Genomic DNA, 19,698 nt, shown 5'->3' on the forward strand with positions numbered 1-19,698 from the left:
CCCTTTGTGGCCCTTTTACCAAAAGAGAAATATTGATTGTTATTCCTACGCTTTATGACATTGTAGGACTTCTAAATATTGTCTCTGATTTTCCTTTGCTAAATTAACAGAATTAATGGGAGTTCCACAATGGACATTGTATTTATGTAGATAATGTCCAGCCCAGCTAAACCACCAGGTTATATAGTATAGTTTGAAAGTTTAAAGTCAAAATTTGAATTGGATATGGACTTTGATATGGGAATTATCTCAATACTGGATTCAAGGTTTAGTTATAGATCAAACTACTGTTTCTTTAAGTGATTCCCATTAAGGAAATCTACTAATTAGTAATATTATAAATGAATGTATTAATGGTTTTTCTTTGTAATACACACTCCTTTCTTGATTGACACCGATTATTAAATCTCTCATTTTGACATTCTGTCTTCTTTGGCTCACTGTATTGAGTCTCAACCTGTTGTGACTTGCACCAAATAGAGTGTCACAGCACATTACTTTGGAAAGAATACGCTTTCCAGATATTTTTAGTAGTGCTGCCATTTCTGTGAATATAATGACAACAGCATATATTGTGTTGTGTTTGTTGAAAATGCTACATTGGATACTAACTGACTAGCCCTCAACTAAGTGTTAACCTACTTGAGAGAAATAATAAAAATACATACATAACCAGTAATCAACACATCAAAACTTGAAACAGTTAAACTGTGCGATGCTTGCAAGGGAGATGGAAAAATAAAAGGTTTAGGAAGGGGATTTGCAATGATAGGACAATTTAAAACTTAAAAAGGGCTAATCTGGAAAGAAATCCGAAGAAAGTGAGTTTTGAGCTGCCTTTGAAATAGTCACATCAAAGGAAGGAAGGTAGAAAATTCAAACTGGGAGAGTGCCTCAGAAATGACTTGGTGATAGAGGATGATGGTAAGCCATATTAACAACCGCCCTGTAAATTAGCTTGGCTAAAGCAATAAATTGATCATTGGGGAAGGTGGGAGTCTATTAAGGGCTGTTCAATAGTGAAAGGATTTTTAATTTTATGAAAGAAACTACTAATGCTTCAGGGATTACTAAGAAAGCACATAATGGAAACACTTTTAAAGAAGACAACTATTGCAACTATTCTGATGAAAAATCCAAATGCTGGGAGAATGCCAAGGATGCTGTGAAAAAGTAGAGTGGTTCTCAACGTGCAGCCTGCAAATTTTCTATAGGTTCCTTGACATTTTCAGGGGGCTCATGAGGTAAATTTTCATAATAATATTAAGAAATTATTTTCCCTTTTCACTGTATTGACATTTGCACCAATGTTGCAAAAGCATGGTAGGGAAAACAGCTGGCTTCTTTGCAGGAAGCAAACAGGTGATACCAAACTGTTCTGGTATTCACTGAGTGTATTCTTTACCATTATGGACACTCAGCCTCTATTTTTTTTTTTTTTAATAAATTTCAATCCTTGAGTACATGTCTCTTTAACATTTGGTAGGATGATGTAAGAAGTATGCATCAAGCACTTCTTCTGCATACCAAAATATAATAGCTGTCTTGGGGAAAAGCACTTCTGCACTTGTTCCATTGTTTACATTTGTGAGCTGACTTAGGCACTGTTTCTATGGAACACTATATTTTACTTGGAAGAATGGCTAACAAATTATGATTATCAGACTTGAAATTTGGCAGACATTTTCTAAAAAATGAAATGTGTGCCTGTCACTTAAAGGAACACAACTGACAGTATATATTGCTAGTGATAAAATTTTGAGCTTTCAAGCAAAAATTAGTATTTTGGAAAACTTATATCTGTCACTGCGAGCTTGACAGTCACCTAATGCTTTAAGACTTTTCTGATGAGGTCGGTGATATTAACAACTGCAATTTAAAAATTTGGTTTTGCATAATGAAATGTGTCAACATTCAGAAATCTGCATGTTTTCTAAATGACCAACAGGTAATATTACTAACTCATGAATGGATAAACAATCCAATCAAAGTATAAGATGAACTAATGGCTTTTAATGTTACAGAGTACAACATTGATTGATATGGTTTCAGAATCCATATTGCAATTAATCATTAAGAAACTACCACTTGTCAAGTCTTGGTGTAGTATCAAAGAAGAATATTCAAGATTATCTGAAAAGACTATTCAAATTATCTTTCATTTTCTAGCTGCATACCTTGTGTGACATTGAATTTTGTTCATATAAGTCAACCATATTATAATACATTGAATGCAGGATCAGATATGAGAACTCAGCTTTCTTTTATGAAATCACTCTTGCAAAATGTCAATGTTACTGCTTTCATGCATGTTTAAAAATATTGCATGGTTATTTTTTCATAAAATATTTAACATGTAATGGGATTATCATTTTGAAGTGAGTGAGTAAATAAATATGTTTTAATTTCTAAGTTGTCATTTCTATATGGCAGATATTTATAGATGAGACTCACATAAGCAAAAACCCTTTGGGATCTTTAATAATGTTTAAAAATGTAACGACGTTAAAATATAAAATTATATAATGTTTAAAAATATGGTAAAATCCTCAAAGTTTGAGGATCACTATACAAGTAAATAGTCAAAATTTGGATGAAGGCTGTAACTACAAGAATGAAGATGAAGAAGCACATGGAACATGCTTGTTGGTTAATTTGCATTATATTACACCATCTTTTTGCCCTCCTTCCTAAGACTAAAATACCCTCTCTGCCTTTTTTGGGTACTACATGTGACTTCTCGATGTTATTTTCACATTATTTTCTTTCCACAAAAACCAAGAACTACTTTCCCAGAGCCTGTATGTGTTGAACAGATTCCACAAGGAAAGCTTATAGGAACTAGAAGTCTAAAAACAAAGCAAAATGATAAGGTTAAATGCAGAGTGAAGTATATATTTCTTTCATCTGCTAATTTCTCATTGTTAAGCACTCAAAAATCAAACACTGCTTTGAATTCAACTGTCTTCTGTGTCAAAGTCATATTTGCTAGTAAAAGCTTAATAACTGGTAATAACATAAGAACATTTCTATCCAATTGTAAAATTATTTTGCCTAGGTGAGCCAGGAAAGGTACATGGTCTGCATTTTCCCCAGTGAGGAAGAGTCATAAGAAAGGTGTATGTCACATCTATAACCTGTGAGCAAAGTTATAGACAGTGCCACCAAGGAGACATTTCTTCTCAAACTAAAGGTGTTATAACTTAACATATGGCTGCTCTTCAGTCTTCAACAAGAAATGAGAAAAGGTCACAGGCCCAAGAGAGGATGAATATGAAGAATTCTTGTCATAGCAACAGAAAAGAAAATGAGGAATGGTTTAAGGAAGTACAGCAATAACAGTATAGCCACAGGATTTGCAAAATGCCTGTTAAGGCTAATGCTATGTTGTCAGTAATGTAGAATATGTATGGAATATCCTAAAAAATATCCATATCCATAAAATACACATTCTTGAAATGTGAAAAGTCGAAGGGATAGCAGAGTGGTATCTGTTTGTAAGGTCATCAGCTCTTCAAAGGTAAACTACTAGAGTGAGGGTGAGTCATGCATACTCAACAAGAGATTTCTATCTGGAAAGGAAGTAGAAAGAAAATTTTAAATATCAGGCATAGGCTGGCAAGAGTTATAAAATGAGTAGGGGTTGGCATCTGAGTCTTTTTTTTATCTCCTCCAATAAAAACTGGTTTGTCTCTTGCTACTTGTAACCTTGTATGTAATACCCTATATAGTGACTTCTCCAAGCCAAGTGTCCCAGAAAAGACCATTAGGGCAACAAAACATTGAGGGAAGTTGCCTTGAGAACAAGACACAAACATCAGTTTTACAGTATAGCCTGGGTGAGGCCGATTCAGTGGGAATGAGCCTTAGTTCTTTAAAATTGTGCTGGTTAAATTTGGAAATGTGGATAGTCTTCCAGTTTTCTTCTAAGCTAATCTTTTAAAATATTTTTGGATATCTAGTATTCATCAGCTCTCTATGTTTCCCTAGAATTTCTCAGTTTTAGTGTTGGTCCTTACCTATTTCAGTTTTTCACCACTTGTCTGGAAATCTTTTTGCACGTAGAGGCAACAAATTGGGAGGCTAAAAACAGACATGTCCCCATGGGGACCATCAAAATAGTTTTCTCCTTGTTGATAAGCATTAAATAGACCAGCCATTCACTGTGCTAAATCGAGCAAATGTGCTCAGGAAAAGAAGTTTGTGAATTCTAGACTCGTAAAATTTCAGGCTGGTCACTTGAGGTGTTTGAAATGTCACAAGGGTGACATTAAGGCTGAAATTTGCACAGAAATTTTCCATTTGCAAAACATTTTCACATCTGTAATATCATTTGACACCTTTCACAAGTGTTGAGGAAGATATTGTCATGATCTTATGTTTAGAAATCTAGAAATTGAGGCTAAGGGCAATTATGTGACTTGAGAAAGTCAAGGCTAGCCAGCAGTTTTGCAAGGATTCAAATTCAGGCCTTTGATTTCTGAAGTTTGTTTCCCTACAGTACAAGGAATCTTACAACTTCTCTCTTTATTTGTAATTATAGAGTTAATCCTTGACAATCTAGAACTTTTTTTTTTAAACCCCAGGACACACCACTTACATGTGTTAGAACTTTTAAAATCTGAAGTACATGAATGCTTTTAATGCCCCAGTGAGAATTACAGAGGAAGAGGTTGCAGAAAAGCCTAAATGACTTGTTCAACTCATTAGAATGGATTTTAGAACTGATATATTAGAAAGTAAAAAACAAATATAAAAGAATCATCTTAAAATAATATGAATAAACCCACCCACAAGGAGTACCTGTGCAGCCTTCTTGCCAGCTTCAAGTGTCAAAATGAACATCTCCCAAAGGCAGTCCTCAGCATGGGAGCACACCCTAATCTGTTTTCTAAAGACCACATGGAAATCAAAAGCAAACAGCAAATCAATAATAACTAGTAGATTCACATTCTAAAGAGAGTCTCCCAACAACAGATGCATTGTTTCATAACAATACCACTCCATTATGCTCATATATTGTTTCCTCATTTATAAACTATTTTCATATTCATGAATAAATGGGAACAATAAATGCCAAGTGGCCACCGACCTCAGGGATAAGATGAGGTTAAATTTTAAGAAGAGAAAGAGTGAAAGCTAAGATGAGAAAGAAAACATCAAGCAAGATGATTATAAACTAAACTGCTATCAACTTGAATATAAGGGTAGAAGATAAAATGTCTGGGTGAAGAGCTGTGGGAGGCATGGCAAAGTGTCATAGAGGCAATACAGGAGTGCTGTATGCAGAGCTATTTTAATTAATAATTGCAAGCTCTGTTATGAAAAAATGATCAACATATGCATTTAAAAGGTGGTGAGTGTATTTAATATAAACAGAGTGTGATCCCTTTATCACATCTTTTGCAATTTGGAAGGCTCCTCAGGGAATCTGATCCACCTTCAGAACATGCCTATGATTAAAAGCTCAAGAGGGGCCTAATCTGTTTTTCTCTGTCTTTGCTATGTCTTTACATTTTCCTCTCTTATTGTACATAGTCATGGTTGTCTTCCTCCTCCAGCCCCCCACCTCCTTCTTCTCTTCTTCCTCCTCCTTTACTTCTTTAGTAAAGAAACCTCTAATAAGATGTCTTAGCCATCTGGATCCTGTTTCTTGTGTTCATACAAGAGAAATAAATGATGACCCTTAGAAACTTAGCCATTTTTATTTGGATAATATATAGCTATATTTAATTATTTTCTGGAATTTATTTGCTTTAATCTTCATTATCATTTTTCTTACTTTTTATACAAATAAGCCTATGTATTTACCCTGCAAGGCTATTTTATTAATTCATATGACAATCACAAAGAAAAGGGAGGATTTCAGGTATAAGAAAGGGGAGGAAAGTGGACGTATTTTAGTAGAGTCTCGTGATTTAAAAGTTGTGTTGTGTCAATATTGTAAAATAGACTTGCTAAATGTTATTATTCACAAATCACACATGAGGAAAGCAAGGCTTTACAACCCAGTGAGTGAAGTGGTAGCTGAATCTGAGTTCTATGAGTTCAAAGACAATGTCTAGTATTTCTCAATGCTACCATAACCTGCAAGAGAAGTCCTCCAGATTTTAAAGATGGTATGATTTTCATCATTTTCAGGATGAAATGACATGACAGCTAGAATTTTTGGAGGAAGGATAATGACCGTAATGCCATAGGTTTGCTGGGATGTAGTTTATTTGCCAGGGAAATGGTAATAAGAAAACCTTCTCAGGAAGTTAGTGGAGAACTAAGTGAGATAGCTTATAAAGGGCCCAGTTTCCACCTGCCACACGGTGGGTGTTCAATGAATGCTTGTCCTTGTTCCTGCTTGAGAACTATTTCTTAATGTAGTCAACTTTGCACTGCAGAAAGGTGTTGTATAATAGTTGTTCCCTACAGTAGAAACAAAGGAAGTATAATCTTTGCCCTTTCACAAAAATTAGCATCCTTTATATATTTTTTTAGGGTTTCAAGAATGAGTTGGAATATTTAATGTGATCTTCAGAGGAAGCATATTTTTATAGGTGGATTTATTTTGGGGGGAATACAATAGCAAGAGACATAAAGTACTAATGATCCATATAGCATTTTTATTTCTCCTGACTTCTCAAGGAGGCAAACTGCCTAACTTGCAAAAAGACCAACCAGGTATCTTTAAAATAGCAATGCCAGGATTTCCTTTTATTTTCTTCACACTGGCAAGCCCATACAAACATAAACTCATGCACACATGGGCACACACACAGACTGTTTGCTTATTTAATTGGAAGAAACAATCAGTAATCTATGAATCACAGAAGGAAGTAAGTAGGAAGAAACATTCTCTTCATTGAGCCTTTCTTTTAAGAGTTGATGAAAATGAGTATGGATAATGTAATGTCTTTCAGAAATGAATGGCAGTATCATCAGAACAACCACCCATATGTTTTCCCAAAGCAAGACATTGTGAGGTGTTAAGAGATATATGCAGGTAAGATTACATCCTTTCCTTTTGTGTTCCCAATTATTATCCCCTAGAAGCAGTAACAACACTAATACTTAGTAGCCTATATATTTGTTCATATCAAAAAACTGGCACCCGCAATGTTCCCTATTATTTTACTATAGTATTGTAGTTTTGTTTAAGTTCATCCGAGATCATGACAATTATTTTATCTAATGTTGTTGATGTGTTACATTTAGTGGCCAAATTTTAAACCCTCAGTTCTGGTAAAGAAGAGAGGGGAACATCACACACCGGGGCTGTTGCGGGATGGGGGCGGGGGAGGGATAGCATTAGGAGATATACCTAATGTTAAATGACAAGTTAATGGGTGCAGCACACCAACATGGCGCATGTATACATATGTAACAAACCTGCACATTGTGCACATGTACCCTAAAACTTAAAGTATAAAAATAAAAAAAAGAAGAGGTTATTGTATTTAAAATATCTCATTTCTTGATATCTGCAAGAAATTTGCAAAATTCCTATTACTTCTATTATGAATCAATTCATTCTAAAACTCACGGGTATCTGTAATGCTTTAAGCGAATATCACCTTTGATCATAATTATCCACGAAACTGTGATTGATAACACCCCAAAAGCTGTATTTTCATAGACGATTTCCAATTGTCTACTTTATTGAGTATGTTATGTTCAGAAGGGTATTTTATTTATTAATTTATTATTATTTTTTGAAACAGAGTCTCGCTCTGTCTCGCCCAGGCTGGAGTGCAGTGGTGTCATCTTGGTTCACTGTGGCCTCTCCCTCCCGGGTTCAAGTGATTCTCCTGTCTCAGCCTCCCAAGTAGCTGGGACTGTTACAGGTGTGTGCCACCACACCCAGCTAATTTTGTATTTTTGGTAGAGATGGGGTTTCACCATTTTGGGCAGTCTGGTCTTGAACTCCTCCTGACCTCAGCGATCCACCCCCCTTGGCCTCCCAAAGTGTTGGCATTACAGGCAGAAAGGCATTTTAAAAATAATAGTCTCCTTTATGAAAATATAGAGCTTATTTCTATTACCACTGAAAATTACCTGTATTTGTTATTGGTGGTGGGATTACAATAAAACACAAACCTGATATATTTTGATATTCAGGGATGCTTTTGAGCATTTTACTTATATTTAAAGAAGAGAAAACAGAGGCCAAGGGAAGTTAATTATGAAAGTCAAAGCTAGTAACTGATAAAGCAGGGATTCAAATCTATGCCTTTGTTTAATTTTGATCCATGAGTTACTTAGATGTGTATGGTTTAATTTCCAAGTATTTGGAGGGGTTTTCTAGGTGTCTTAGTCTTAAATTGATTTCTAATTTAATTACATTATGGTTAGAGAACAAGCTCTATAAGGTTTTAAAATTTTTGAAATTTTAATTGAGTCTTATTTTCATCTCTAGTAGTACACCTTCTCTTAAATTCTACTTTGGTAATAACACAGCAAAATTAAGCATTAAAAATAGACTTTTATGTTTATTGTATAGTGTATCATTTTTCATTTTTTTACTTTCAATGTATGCTTTATATAGATAGCATTTAGTTGAGCCTTGCAATGTAATCCAGACTGATGGTCTCTGCCTTTTAACTGGAATTTTCAATCAATGTACATATGTTTGATGTAATTACTGACGTAGTTTGATTGAACTCTGCCATCATGCTTCTGTTTTCCAGTATCTCATCTATTTTTTATTCTTTTCTTCCTCCTTTCTTGACTTATTTTCAGTTAATTAAATATTCATTAGTAATTAATTTTAAGTCAATTATTGGCTTTCTAGCTATAATTTTTATATTTTTAATCATTTGCATCTTTATCATAGTCTATTTACAGTTAATATTGTACCATTTCATGTAAAAAAGCCTTACTATAGTAAAATTCCATTTGTTCTCCCACCCACAGGCCTTTGTGATATTGTAGTCAAATATTTTACATTGGCATGTGTAATCTTATTATTATTTTTAATTTAGTTAATATAATAAAAATGCTATCATTTTCTGTTTAAACATTTATCTTTAAGGACATTTTGAAAAGAAAATACAGTCTTTTATATTTACCATTTATCACTTCTGGTACTTTTATATTTACCATTTATCATTTTCATATAATAGTCTTTTATATTTACCATTTATCACCTCTGGTACTCTTCTTTCTTTTTTGTAGTTCAAGTTTCAATCTATTGCCATTTCTTACAAGTTTCAATCTATTGCCATTTCCTACAAGTTTCAATCTATTGCCATTTTCTACATTTCTCTTTATTATTCTCAAAGTGCAGATCTGGTAAAGATTAATTTTTTAACTTTTATTTATATGAAAATATTTTCATTTTACTTGCTGAAAATCAAATTCTAGTTTAAATTTTGCTTTCGGCACTTTAAAGTTGTCGTTCCATTGTATTTTGGCATCCATATTTCTGATTAAGAGTTACCAGTGATTTGTATCATTGTTCCTCCTGTGTAATGCGTTGTTTTTCTTTGGCTGCCTTTAATATTTTCTCTTCATCTTGGGTTTTCATCAGTTTGATTATGATGTTCCTAGATGCGATCGTCTTTGAATCAGCCTCTCCTGCTGAGGCTTACTGGGTTTTCTTTTTTGTTTTTAACCAAAATGGAAAATTTCCAGAAATTATTTTTTATATCCTATTTTCTCTTTCTTCTTTCTCTGAGACTTCAATTACATGTATGTTAGATTTCTTGTTACTATCCCTGAGGACAGGTCACTGAGCCATTGATTAATTTTTAAAAAATCTTTTATTGTCTATCTCTTGTCTTTATAGTGGATAATTTCTATCGATTTGTCTTCAACTTCACTAGTCCTTTCTTTAGCATTCTCCAAACTGATGTTAAAGTAATAAATTAGTACATTTTAAAGGTCAGATATTTTATTCATCTATGCTAAATCTCCATTTGGTTCTTCCCATAGCTTCTGTTTCTTTGTTGGGATTCTCATCTCTTCACTCATTACAACTATTTTTACCTTAAGATCCTTGAATGTACTTTCATAGGTTTGTTGAAATCCTTGTCTGCCAGTTCTACATCTGGGTCTCGAAGATCTATATCTGGTTCTACATCTTGAAGTCTATTTCTATGGACTGCTTATTTTCTTAAGTCTCATTTTCCTACTTCTTTGCATGTGTGGTAATTTTTAACTTTATGCTGGATATTTTGGGTGAGACTTTGTGGGGAATCTGGATTATGACATATTTCCTGAAAAATATGTTAAGATGTTGAGGTTTTTTTGTTTTTGTTTTTTTCCCCCTGTGAGAGAATGCAATGGCAGATACTCTTGTTCTTGTGAAGCTTAGTTGTATTTTTTGTTAAGACAGGTCTATTTTGTCTTTGAATTTAATCTTAAGGTGTGGTCCTTTTGGTAGGTCATGGTCCTTACTATTATAGTATGATCTTTCTGGGGCTCAACTGAGTACCTGAGGTGCTGAGTGAAGTCTCTTTACCCTAATACTCCAACATTTCCAAGCACTGCAGGTCACCTAAGTATTTCCATTTAGCACTTAGTTCTGTGGCAGGCAATTTCTGCTGTATGGAATCTCTTTCCTCACATGCATGGCTCAGACCTTGGCTAAGAACTTACAGTAAATTCCCATGCAGACTTCTGTCTCTCAACCCTTTCACACAGCTACCTCTTTCTTGGCCATGTTTCCTGTCATTATAGCTTCCTTGGCAGCCTTGCTATTCTAATCTCGGCCTCTTCAGTTTGGTGAGACTGTAGTTTAACTTGATATCCATGTCCCTGAACTAGGGCAGAAAAATAAACCGAACAAAAAGCTGAGAAGATTATGGGGCTCATCCTGTGTATTTTCCTTCTTTCAGGGATCACAGTCCTGCTCTGACCATTGTCCAAGGCCTGAAAGCCGTTGCCTCTTATATTTTGTCCAGTTTTACAGTTGTTTACAGCAAGAAGGCAGATTCAGTACCAATAACTGTGTCACGGTTAGAATAAAAAATTCATGGGTTTATAATTATTTTTCACAAAACCTTGTGAAATAGTACTTGTGAAGTAAGTACTATTATAACCTAGTTTTTTTGAAAGTTAAATTCAGTCTAGTGAGTGGAGCAGTCATAATTTGAACCTAGGCAGTCACATTCTAGACGTTGTGGTCTGACTAAATATACTATGCTGGCTCTGCAACATAACTTATGTTGATTTCCTTCACAGCATTTATCATACTCTTCATCTCATATATATGCTAATATTTATTTATTTATTTACACTCTGCTACTTCTGCTGGTGTATAAGCATCATGTATTTTCTATTTATAACTGTCTCTCCACTGCCTAGCACAGGAATAGGCTCTTGGTGGAAATATTTAATAAGTTTTTTAAAATGAATGAATGAATGTAGATACTACCATTATAAAATCATTTTTAAAATAGGGATTTTTCTTACATATTTGGTACTTTAGACTTCATCTTGTCTGCCACCTTGTGGCAATAAAATTTTGCAATAAAAATAAAAATAAAAAACCCTAAAGGTAGGGAATATACAAAAGGTGATATGTATCATTAAAATCTTTGCAAGTATATACATCAAAATATATTTATATAATAAAAGAATCATAGCAGGATTTTTAATCTTGATAAGAAAGCAGTAATTACAAATCGGTCTTTAGAAATGTTCAAAAACCTTCTGATAAACAGTGGCACTGGTTTGATGAAGTGAGCAGAGATTGAATGTATTAGGAGAGTCTGAGCATTACTTTTGGTTGAAGTAAAAAATAATACTTATATATGCCACTTCGGATATGTTATGAATAAAAAAGAAGAGCCATTTTGATAATAGTTGTTTTCAGAGCCTTTGTATCATTGACTATTTTAGTTTAAATGGCAGTGCTTAGCTGATTAATTTCAAAACGTATCTCTGTTGATCTTAAAACCATAAAGTTATGGTCCTTGTAGTCTTCTCTATGACAAAACAATAGAAGCAAAACTACATGATGGTTTTTAAGCTAATTTTTGTGTTAACAAGTCTCCTAAAAATATGCAGTAGACCTCACATTTACATAAAATTACAGAGAAGATGCTTCAGCAAATGCAAATAAATGCAAAAAAGGAATATTTTAATTTTGATTCATGATTAGTATCAACTTTCACAATGTGATAATAATACAAAAGCAGAATTCTGCATTGAGTATATAACTAATGGTTGTAAGCTGTTTATAGAGTAAATATCCTAATTAATTTATTTTATCAAATACATTTGTTGACTATATTTCAGACTGTTTTAAAATCTAAGATCTTTCAAGATGTTTTGATATTAAAATCATATGTATTGACTTATGCAGTTCTGCACTATGACCAGACCAGCAAAATGATTTATTTCACTTGATGCATTATTAATTGTACAAATTGACTGTTTAACCTTTATTGATTTACATTTCTTACTTAATGTTCAACTTAGGAACAGCAGCAAAAATTATTTTACAAAAGTTAATTGTAACGTAATAGGAAAGATAACTTTACTATTCACTGTTGTACACATTAAATTCGGTAATTTTCAAGGTCTTGAAAAAGCATTCTTACTTTCAAAGCAGAACATTTCTAATTCTAAATAGTGAACCTACTGAAGCTGATCTTTGCATTCTCAGGAATTGCAGCATCTTGTGGTTCTTATATTTGGATTATAGTGGAATTTTTGATCTTTCGTTCTCATTACTTTTTTTTTTTTTACTGAATTCTTGTTTACCAGAGACTGTTACTTATTTTTAATAACATTGAATTAATTACATTTTGACATGACCATGCCATTTGGAACCCTTTTATTATTAAATACGATTCAAAAATTCATCAAAATAATCTGATATCCAAGAAATATTTCTTTTAAAATGTAGGCCATGTAGGCGGCCCTTTTTATTTGTGATTATAACCATGGAGAAGGTGAGGTATAATTACTTTTAGTGCATCTCAATTTATTATTGTTTATGTATGCCTATGGATTTTCTGAATATTTTGAAGTCTATAAATAGCTTTCAAATGTTTGTTTCTATTTTTAAAATTTTTACTTATTTATGTTCTTTGCTTTTGCATGATCAAATATTTTTTAGTCTGTAAATAGTTTTCAAGTATTTTTCCCACAAATCACCCAGATAGCCCAAAAGTTGCAATATTTTGACATACTGAAATACACATTACTTTTCCAGTATTTCTTCTTTCAAATGGAAATAGAACAAAATTGTTTGACCGACCATATATCTTGATTTTTTTTTAAAACTATGGTTTCATAAAATGTTTCCAGATAATATAGGGAGTAAAATTTTCTTTTAATGTCAAAGAGAATCTGCCTCTATGTTTTGTAGTTTACTTAAGAGGGAGAATGGCTTTCAAACAGGTTGTCTTGTGAATTTCAAAGTGATTTTGTTGTCTGTAGGTTCTTGAGGTCAAGTTTAAGTTCACTACTAGGGCTGTGAAATATCTTGGGTAGAAACAACTTTTACATCCTAGTGGATGTGAGTTTGTAAATGACTTTTACCATACTAATAAATCTCCCATTTACAAATGAGTCTTAATATAACCGATAATCATGTTCCCCAGTTGGTTATTAAGAAAGCAGGAATTATATGTTCATATTGATACTAGTTTGCCATTTGTACCCAAAAGAAGTACAGGATGTGAGATGAGAAAATGAACAACACAAAAATTCTAGGTAAATTGCTCAAAGTCAGGCAGGGAGGGATAGAGACATCACAATTTCAAGGAAAGCGTTTGTTGAAAGGCATAATATAATCACTTTATCTTTGCTGCAGATTAAAACTGATTATTATCCATGAGAGAAAGACCCCTAAAACATAAAATACAGGAGAGATACACTTTTATAGAAGAAAAGACAGGCCTGGGTAACACTGGGGATTCTAGGAAGTCATATAGTGACACACAGATACATACTTCTAAAGAAGGATAGAAATATAAAAAAGAAAATTTTAAGGACAGAGATAAAAAGTATTTCATACCTTTGGAAAGCTGTCCAAAGGATCCTTTGAATCAGCTAATGTGATCACCAAATAAGCCATGAACTTTCAAGTCTTGGCTCATACTTCACAGTCAGAATTCCCTTCTACCATTCCACAACTGCAATTTCGACAATCCCTCTTACGATTCAATACCACCTCCCTTACTTACCTATTCTCTCCCTCGTTTCTTCCCGCAGCAATTTGCTTCTGCAGTTGTCTGCCTTTTAGTTTTGCCCTGCATTATGAATAGTTTCTTGTGTCTCTATTTCTTCCAGTAGGTTTTGAGATTTTTGTGGTCTCCATGATTGCCTCACTTGACATAAAACAAGCAGTAAATAAATGTTTGTTTCTTCTTTAAATTGAAATAAGATGGAAGGTGATCAGGCAAGCTCAGATAGTACCCTCCACTAGCATGAACAGCATTTACTTGCACTTATTAGTATATGATTTTACCTGTGTGCATGATTCAGGGCAAGATCTGGTTTCCTCATCCGTAGATAACAGGTAACAAGCTTTGTCTCAATGAAACTTGCCACGCTTGCTATATCTTCAGCAGGTGCATCAAATGGTTCTCCCAGAACTGCTCCTTTGCTGCAAAGCTTTAAAAAATATAGTACTTTCAACATCTTAATAATCTTTCATATAATTTATCTTTTAAATAAGCAAAACATGTGTATGTTTTATTTATATATGTTTTGCTTATGCTTGCTTATATGTTTTGCGTATATGTTAAAAGTATATATGATGCTTTTTCCAAACTACAAGTAAAATATTAATATTTTGATTATAAATTAAATAAATTGTTCCTGTTCACTATTAAGTGAGTGACTGTAATATAAAATAAGGGACACATTGTACTGTAAAATCCTTCCTGTAAAATATTTTAAAAGTATGATAGGTTTTAAAGGAGTGCCAGTTGCTAAGAATGTCTGTTTTAAAAATAAAGCACACAATAACCAAAGATATTAACAGAAAGCCAGGCATAAATCATATTAAATACCAGTGCTTTTATGAAAACCCAGCTGAGCAATGATCTAGCACACTATCAAGTTTGATTTAATATAATAAGAGGTATCGGAAGTAAACTCCTAGGAGCCATTAACATGATCGGTGATTAATTTGAGTCTGAATCATATTCTCTAGTATGTTATTGAAAGAAAAGAAGTGAAAATTTATTAGAATTTATTGGCAGAGGACACAGTATCTGAAAAACATGGCAAGAATATGAATTCTTAATAAAAATTCCAGGAAGTCAGTGGTTTCTGGGCATCATAGATAAACTGTAGAGAAAGAAAATAATTAATTTTTTTTGGAGAACCCCAAACATTATGAAGTGTCAATAATATGACAAGGGAAGATCGGCACTTTTTTTTCCCCTCAGAGTATTCTACTGTTCCTTGAAATTAAGGCTGATGGAAAAGAAGTCCTATCTATGTTTAGTGACCTTATTCAGGATATCGCCTTTTTGCTCTTTTCTACTTCCATCTATGCATATACTGGGGGAAATTTTCTTGCCAGAGGTAGTAATATTTGCAGTTAATACTTATTTATATATCCTTCAGTATAAAATTTATTGTATTCTAAATCCTGTTTGCTTAAATGACATAGTTTAAAATAAATTTTCTTTTATAGGTTAAGTCTTGAGACGGTTTTGCCATTTATATTAATGCTATTGTCATTTTTTAAATGCAGTTTGTTATTTGAATGTGGCTATATTCTGTTCTAAAATGCATTTACTTTCTTAGCAAAGGCTAAAAAAGACTAAAGGCTAAAAAATAAATCTAGAATCTAGATGTTCAGTATCCACAGTCTGAATTGGTAGTTACCTAATGCTGTTTTCTTTTGCTTGGCTATCTTATTAATCCTGGAGATTCATATTGTTCTTAAAACCCTTTATCAGTTGGATGAATGAAATATGTTACTTTCTTCATTTAGTAAAAAATACTTACTGAGCATCTACTATCTGCCAAAGTTGGTCTCTTTACATTTTAATTTGAATTGATTAGGATTTTTTCATAAATCTTGTCTATTTTTAGCTCTATATAAATACCCCTTTCCTATTCCTTGCCTATTTCTATTGACATGTAAATCTTTTTCTTATTAATTATAATAAATATTTAGATATTTAAGCTATTACCCCTTTTCTGGTAGTAATAATATACAAATGATAAAATGTAGGGGTTTCACCCTCAAATAATTTTTTGGAAAAGTGTCCACTTTTACTCATGTTTTGTAAAGGCTCTCAGAATACATAAAACACTACTCTCAATAATTTTGAAAAAAATTAGCAAAGACTATTTGTGGAAGATACACTGGAAATGACCTCAGTCAGTGCTACATTTGGATGCTTCATAAAAGTCACCTGATAAAATTGGTAATAAAATAGATAAAACATTTAAACCAGATTTAGTAATTATTCTAGAGAATCTGACCTCAGAAGTGTCAGCGTGGCTGTAAACAGGCTTTAAAACATAATTTTAGAAAGCATGATAGTTTGAAGATGGCAATTTGAGACAGCATCTCCTTTCTTCTGCCAATCTGATCCCACAGGATCCAGAAATACCTAAACAGAGTTTTCCACAAAAGGAAGATTTTTATATGACATGACTATAAAACACAAATAAATAGAAAACAAAATTAGTAGTAATTATGTAGTTTTATTTATCCATATCTTATATTAACATTCCAGATCTTCTCAATTAATTTTATCTTTTTCTTTTCTTTTAAGACAGAGTCTGGCTGTGTCTCCCAGGCTGGAGTGTAGTGGCGCGATCTCTCCTCACAGCAACCTCTGCCTCCCGGGTTCAAGCGATTCTCCTGCCTCAGCCTCCCAAGTAGTTGGGATTACAGGCAAGTGCCACCACGCCCGGCTAATTTTTTGTATTTTTAGTAGAGACGGGGTTTCACCGTGTTAGCCAGGATGACCTCGGTCTTCTGACCTTGTGATCCACCCACCTTGGCCTCCAAAGTGCTGGGATTACAGGCGTGAGCCACCGTGCCCAGCCAATTTTTGTATTTTCAGTACAGATGGGGTTTCACCATGTTGGCCAGGCTGGGTCTCGAACTCCTGACCTCAAGTAATCTGCTCGCCTCAGTCTCCCAAAGTGTTGGGATTACAGGCAGGAGCCACGGCGCTTGGCTCAGTTAATTTTATCTTTAAATGAAATCAGCCTTTGTTTCCTCAAATCTTACTCAAATCTCCTCTTCACATAAAATCTTAAAAAAGAAAGAAAATATACATTGTATGTGGTCTTTGCCCCTTCCTATCCTTGTTTCTCTCTGATGTGATGGTGTGGAAGAGCCTCTTTTTAGGCACACTTTTTTTTTTTCTTGAGACAGAGTCTCACTCTGTCTTGCTCAGGCTGGAGTGTAATGGCAGCATCTCGACTCACTGCAGCCTCCACCTCCCAAGTTCAAGCGATTCTCCTGCCTCAGCCGCCCAAGTAACTAGGACTACAGGCATGTGCCACCACATCCAGCTAATTTTGTATTTTCAGCAGAGACAGGGTTTCACCATGTTGGCCAGTCTGGTCTTGAACTCCTGACCTCAGGTTATCCACTCGCCTAGGTCTCCCAAAGCGCTGGGATTACAGGCGTGAGCCACCGTGGGATAATGTGGAAGTCATTATGGGATAATGTGGAAGTCATTCAGTGAGTAGTTTCCATGAGGACATTCAGGTTCTTCATGGCAGGCAGGAGGAAGCCACCTTCAGATTTCATAATAGTAAAGACTGTCTATAAACACTGAGAGAAAGTGAAGAGTCTCTGCTTGTATAAGATTCAAGGCAAGAAAAGAAATAAAAATGATCTATCTTAACACACTAATGAGAATACTTCATGAAACCAAGCTGAAAGACAGCAGTGAAAGACCAGGATAATTTTTCAATTCATGTTAAAATCAGAAAATAGGCAGCCTGCTGGGTAGGCTTTATGTATGTTTGTTGAATTCTTGCTTTACCAATCGAGTGTTGTAAGATTGACAACTTTACTGACTATATCGAAGATTGCTTTATTTATTCTCTTCCAAAGTAGTACATCTTTGAATTAAGCTTTGCAATAAGGCAAACAGTTAAAACAATGTGTTGAAGTTAAAGGTAGAGTTATAGGTACATGTAGACAAAATGTTGGCATCAGAACCATGAAACACATTTCAGATATTTTACTAAATTTTAACATTTCCATATAGACATTTGTATAGACTGAGCAGTTAATTCTCCAGAAGATGAAGAAACTTAATGTGGTGTGAATTTGTTTAAATCTAGGAAGGGTGATTTTGTTCACCTTGAAACAAAGGGTATTTGTCTAGAAATGTATAATTTAAATCTTTGGTGAAATAAGTCATGGAGATAAGGAATAAAAACTTTTAAATTACCTGAAATAGTATATCACTGAGAAGACTTTTAAGTAGGAAAAATTAAGTTAGGAGTTAACTTTTTATTTCAAAAGAAACCCTAAAATATTTTTGAATACAGTATGGACAAATTAAAAGTCAATATTTAAGGAAAAAATGCAAGTCTAAATTCTTATGAGTATAGCTGTTGTTTTGATAAGAACCTAGATGTTAAAAATGAAATTTCAGGCCTGGCACAGTGCCTCATCCCTGTAATACCTGCACTTTCAGAGACCGAGGCAGGCGGATCACCTGAGGTCAGGAGTTTGAGGCCAGCCTGGCCAACATGGCGAAACCCCGTCTGTACTAAAAATACAAAAATTAACCAGGCATGGTGGCGGGCACCTGTATTCCCAGCTACTAGGGAGGATGAGGCAGAGTTTGCAGTGAGCAAGCCAGGAGGGTTGCTTGAACCCAGGAAGCAGAGTTTGCAGTGAGCCAAGATCATACCACTGCACTCCAGCCTGGGTGACAGACTGAGATTCAGTCTCTAATAATAATAATAATAATAGTAAAAGGAAATGTCAGTACTAAATTGGAATCATAAGCTCAAATTTTAATAAGGTTTCTCAAAGTTCTTTTAAGAAATAAATATCTAACTTACTTTTAGAAATTGTGCACAAAAGGATTTCAAGATTTGTTTAAAAACAGATACAAATAACATAAACCACATTAGTTGCAGAAATAATATTAAATAATATATGGTGAGCCACATTCTTAAAAATGCAACCACACATTTTTCTTTAATTAGGATCATCATTATCCAGATTAATATTGCTGATAGTTTCTCCCTTATTAAAATTCTGTCTGATGAGTGTTTCCTCACTGTATCACTGGAATAAAATTTTCAGTGATCCCTGACAATTTAGAAGAGAACAATAAATCTGGAAAAGGCTGGCATTGTTTGAGTCATCAAATGTCTACAAATAAGGATATAGATAATCATCAATTGGTAATTTTTAAGGTTTTTGGAAATTATAAAAAAATCTAAAGATGGGGAGAAAGTTATCCATAACCCTATCACCATATATATAATTGCCATTAACTTTTGCCATATTTCTTTCTATACGTTTTGCATTTTTGTATCATAATAGAAGATATATCAACATAATTTTTACACTATATCAACATAAATTTTACAACATAATTTTTCATATGCTCTGCTTTTTTAAAATTGGAAAATAAAAGTATATTAATTATAATTATATTATTACATGTTACAATTATAGTTGAAGATTTCAATATTCCCCTCTCAGCAAATGACAGAAATATTAGAAAGAAAACCAGTAAAGATAGATCTGAACAACACAATCAACCAACAGGATGTAACTGACATACATACATA

The 19,698-nt window shown here is 33.7% G+C and overlaps 1 protein-coding gene across 3 annotated transcripts in view; it reads right to left on the bottom strand.

The window, feature by feature from the left end:
• Positions 1-19,698, bottom strand: part of SPATA16 (spermatogenesis associated 16) — a 251,879-nt gene that overhangs the window by 145,176 nt on the left and 87,005 nt on the right. For all 3 annotated transcript variants that reach the window (NM_031955.6, XM_006713778.4, XM_017007308.3), the window contains exon 3: positions 14,417-14,562. In NM_031955.6, the coding sequence (NP_114161.3) occupies positions 14,417-14,562 (146 nt within the window). The remainder of the gene's footprint in view (positions 1-14,416; positions 14,563-19,698) is intronic.

Source organism: Homo sapiens, chromosome 3 (assembly GCF_000001405.40).
Source record: "Homo sapiens chromosome 3, GRCh38.p14 Primary Assembly".
Classification (NCBI taxonomy): Eukaryota; Metazoa; Chordata; class Mammalia; order Primates; family Hominidae; genus Homo; species Homo sapiens.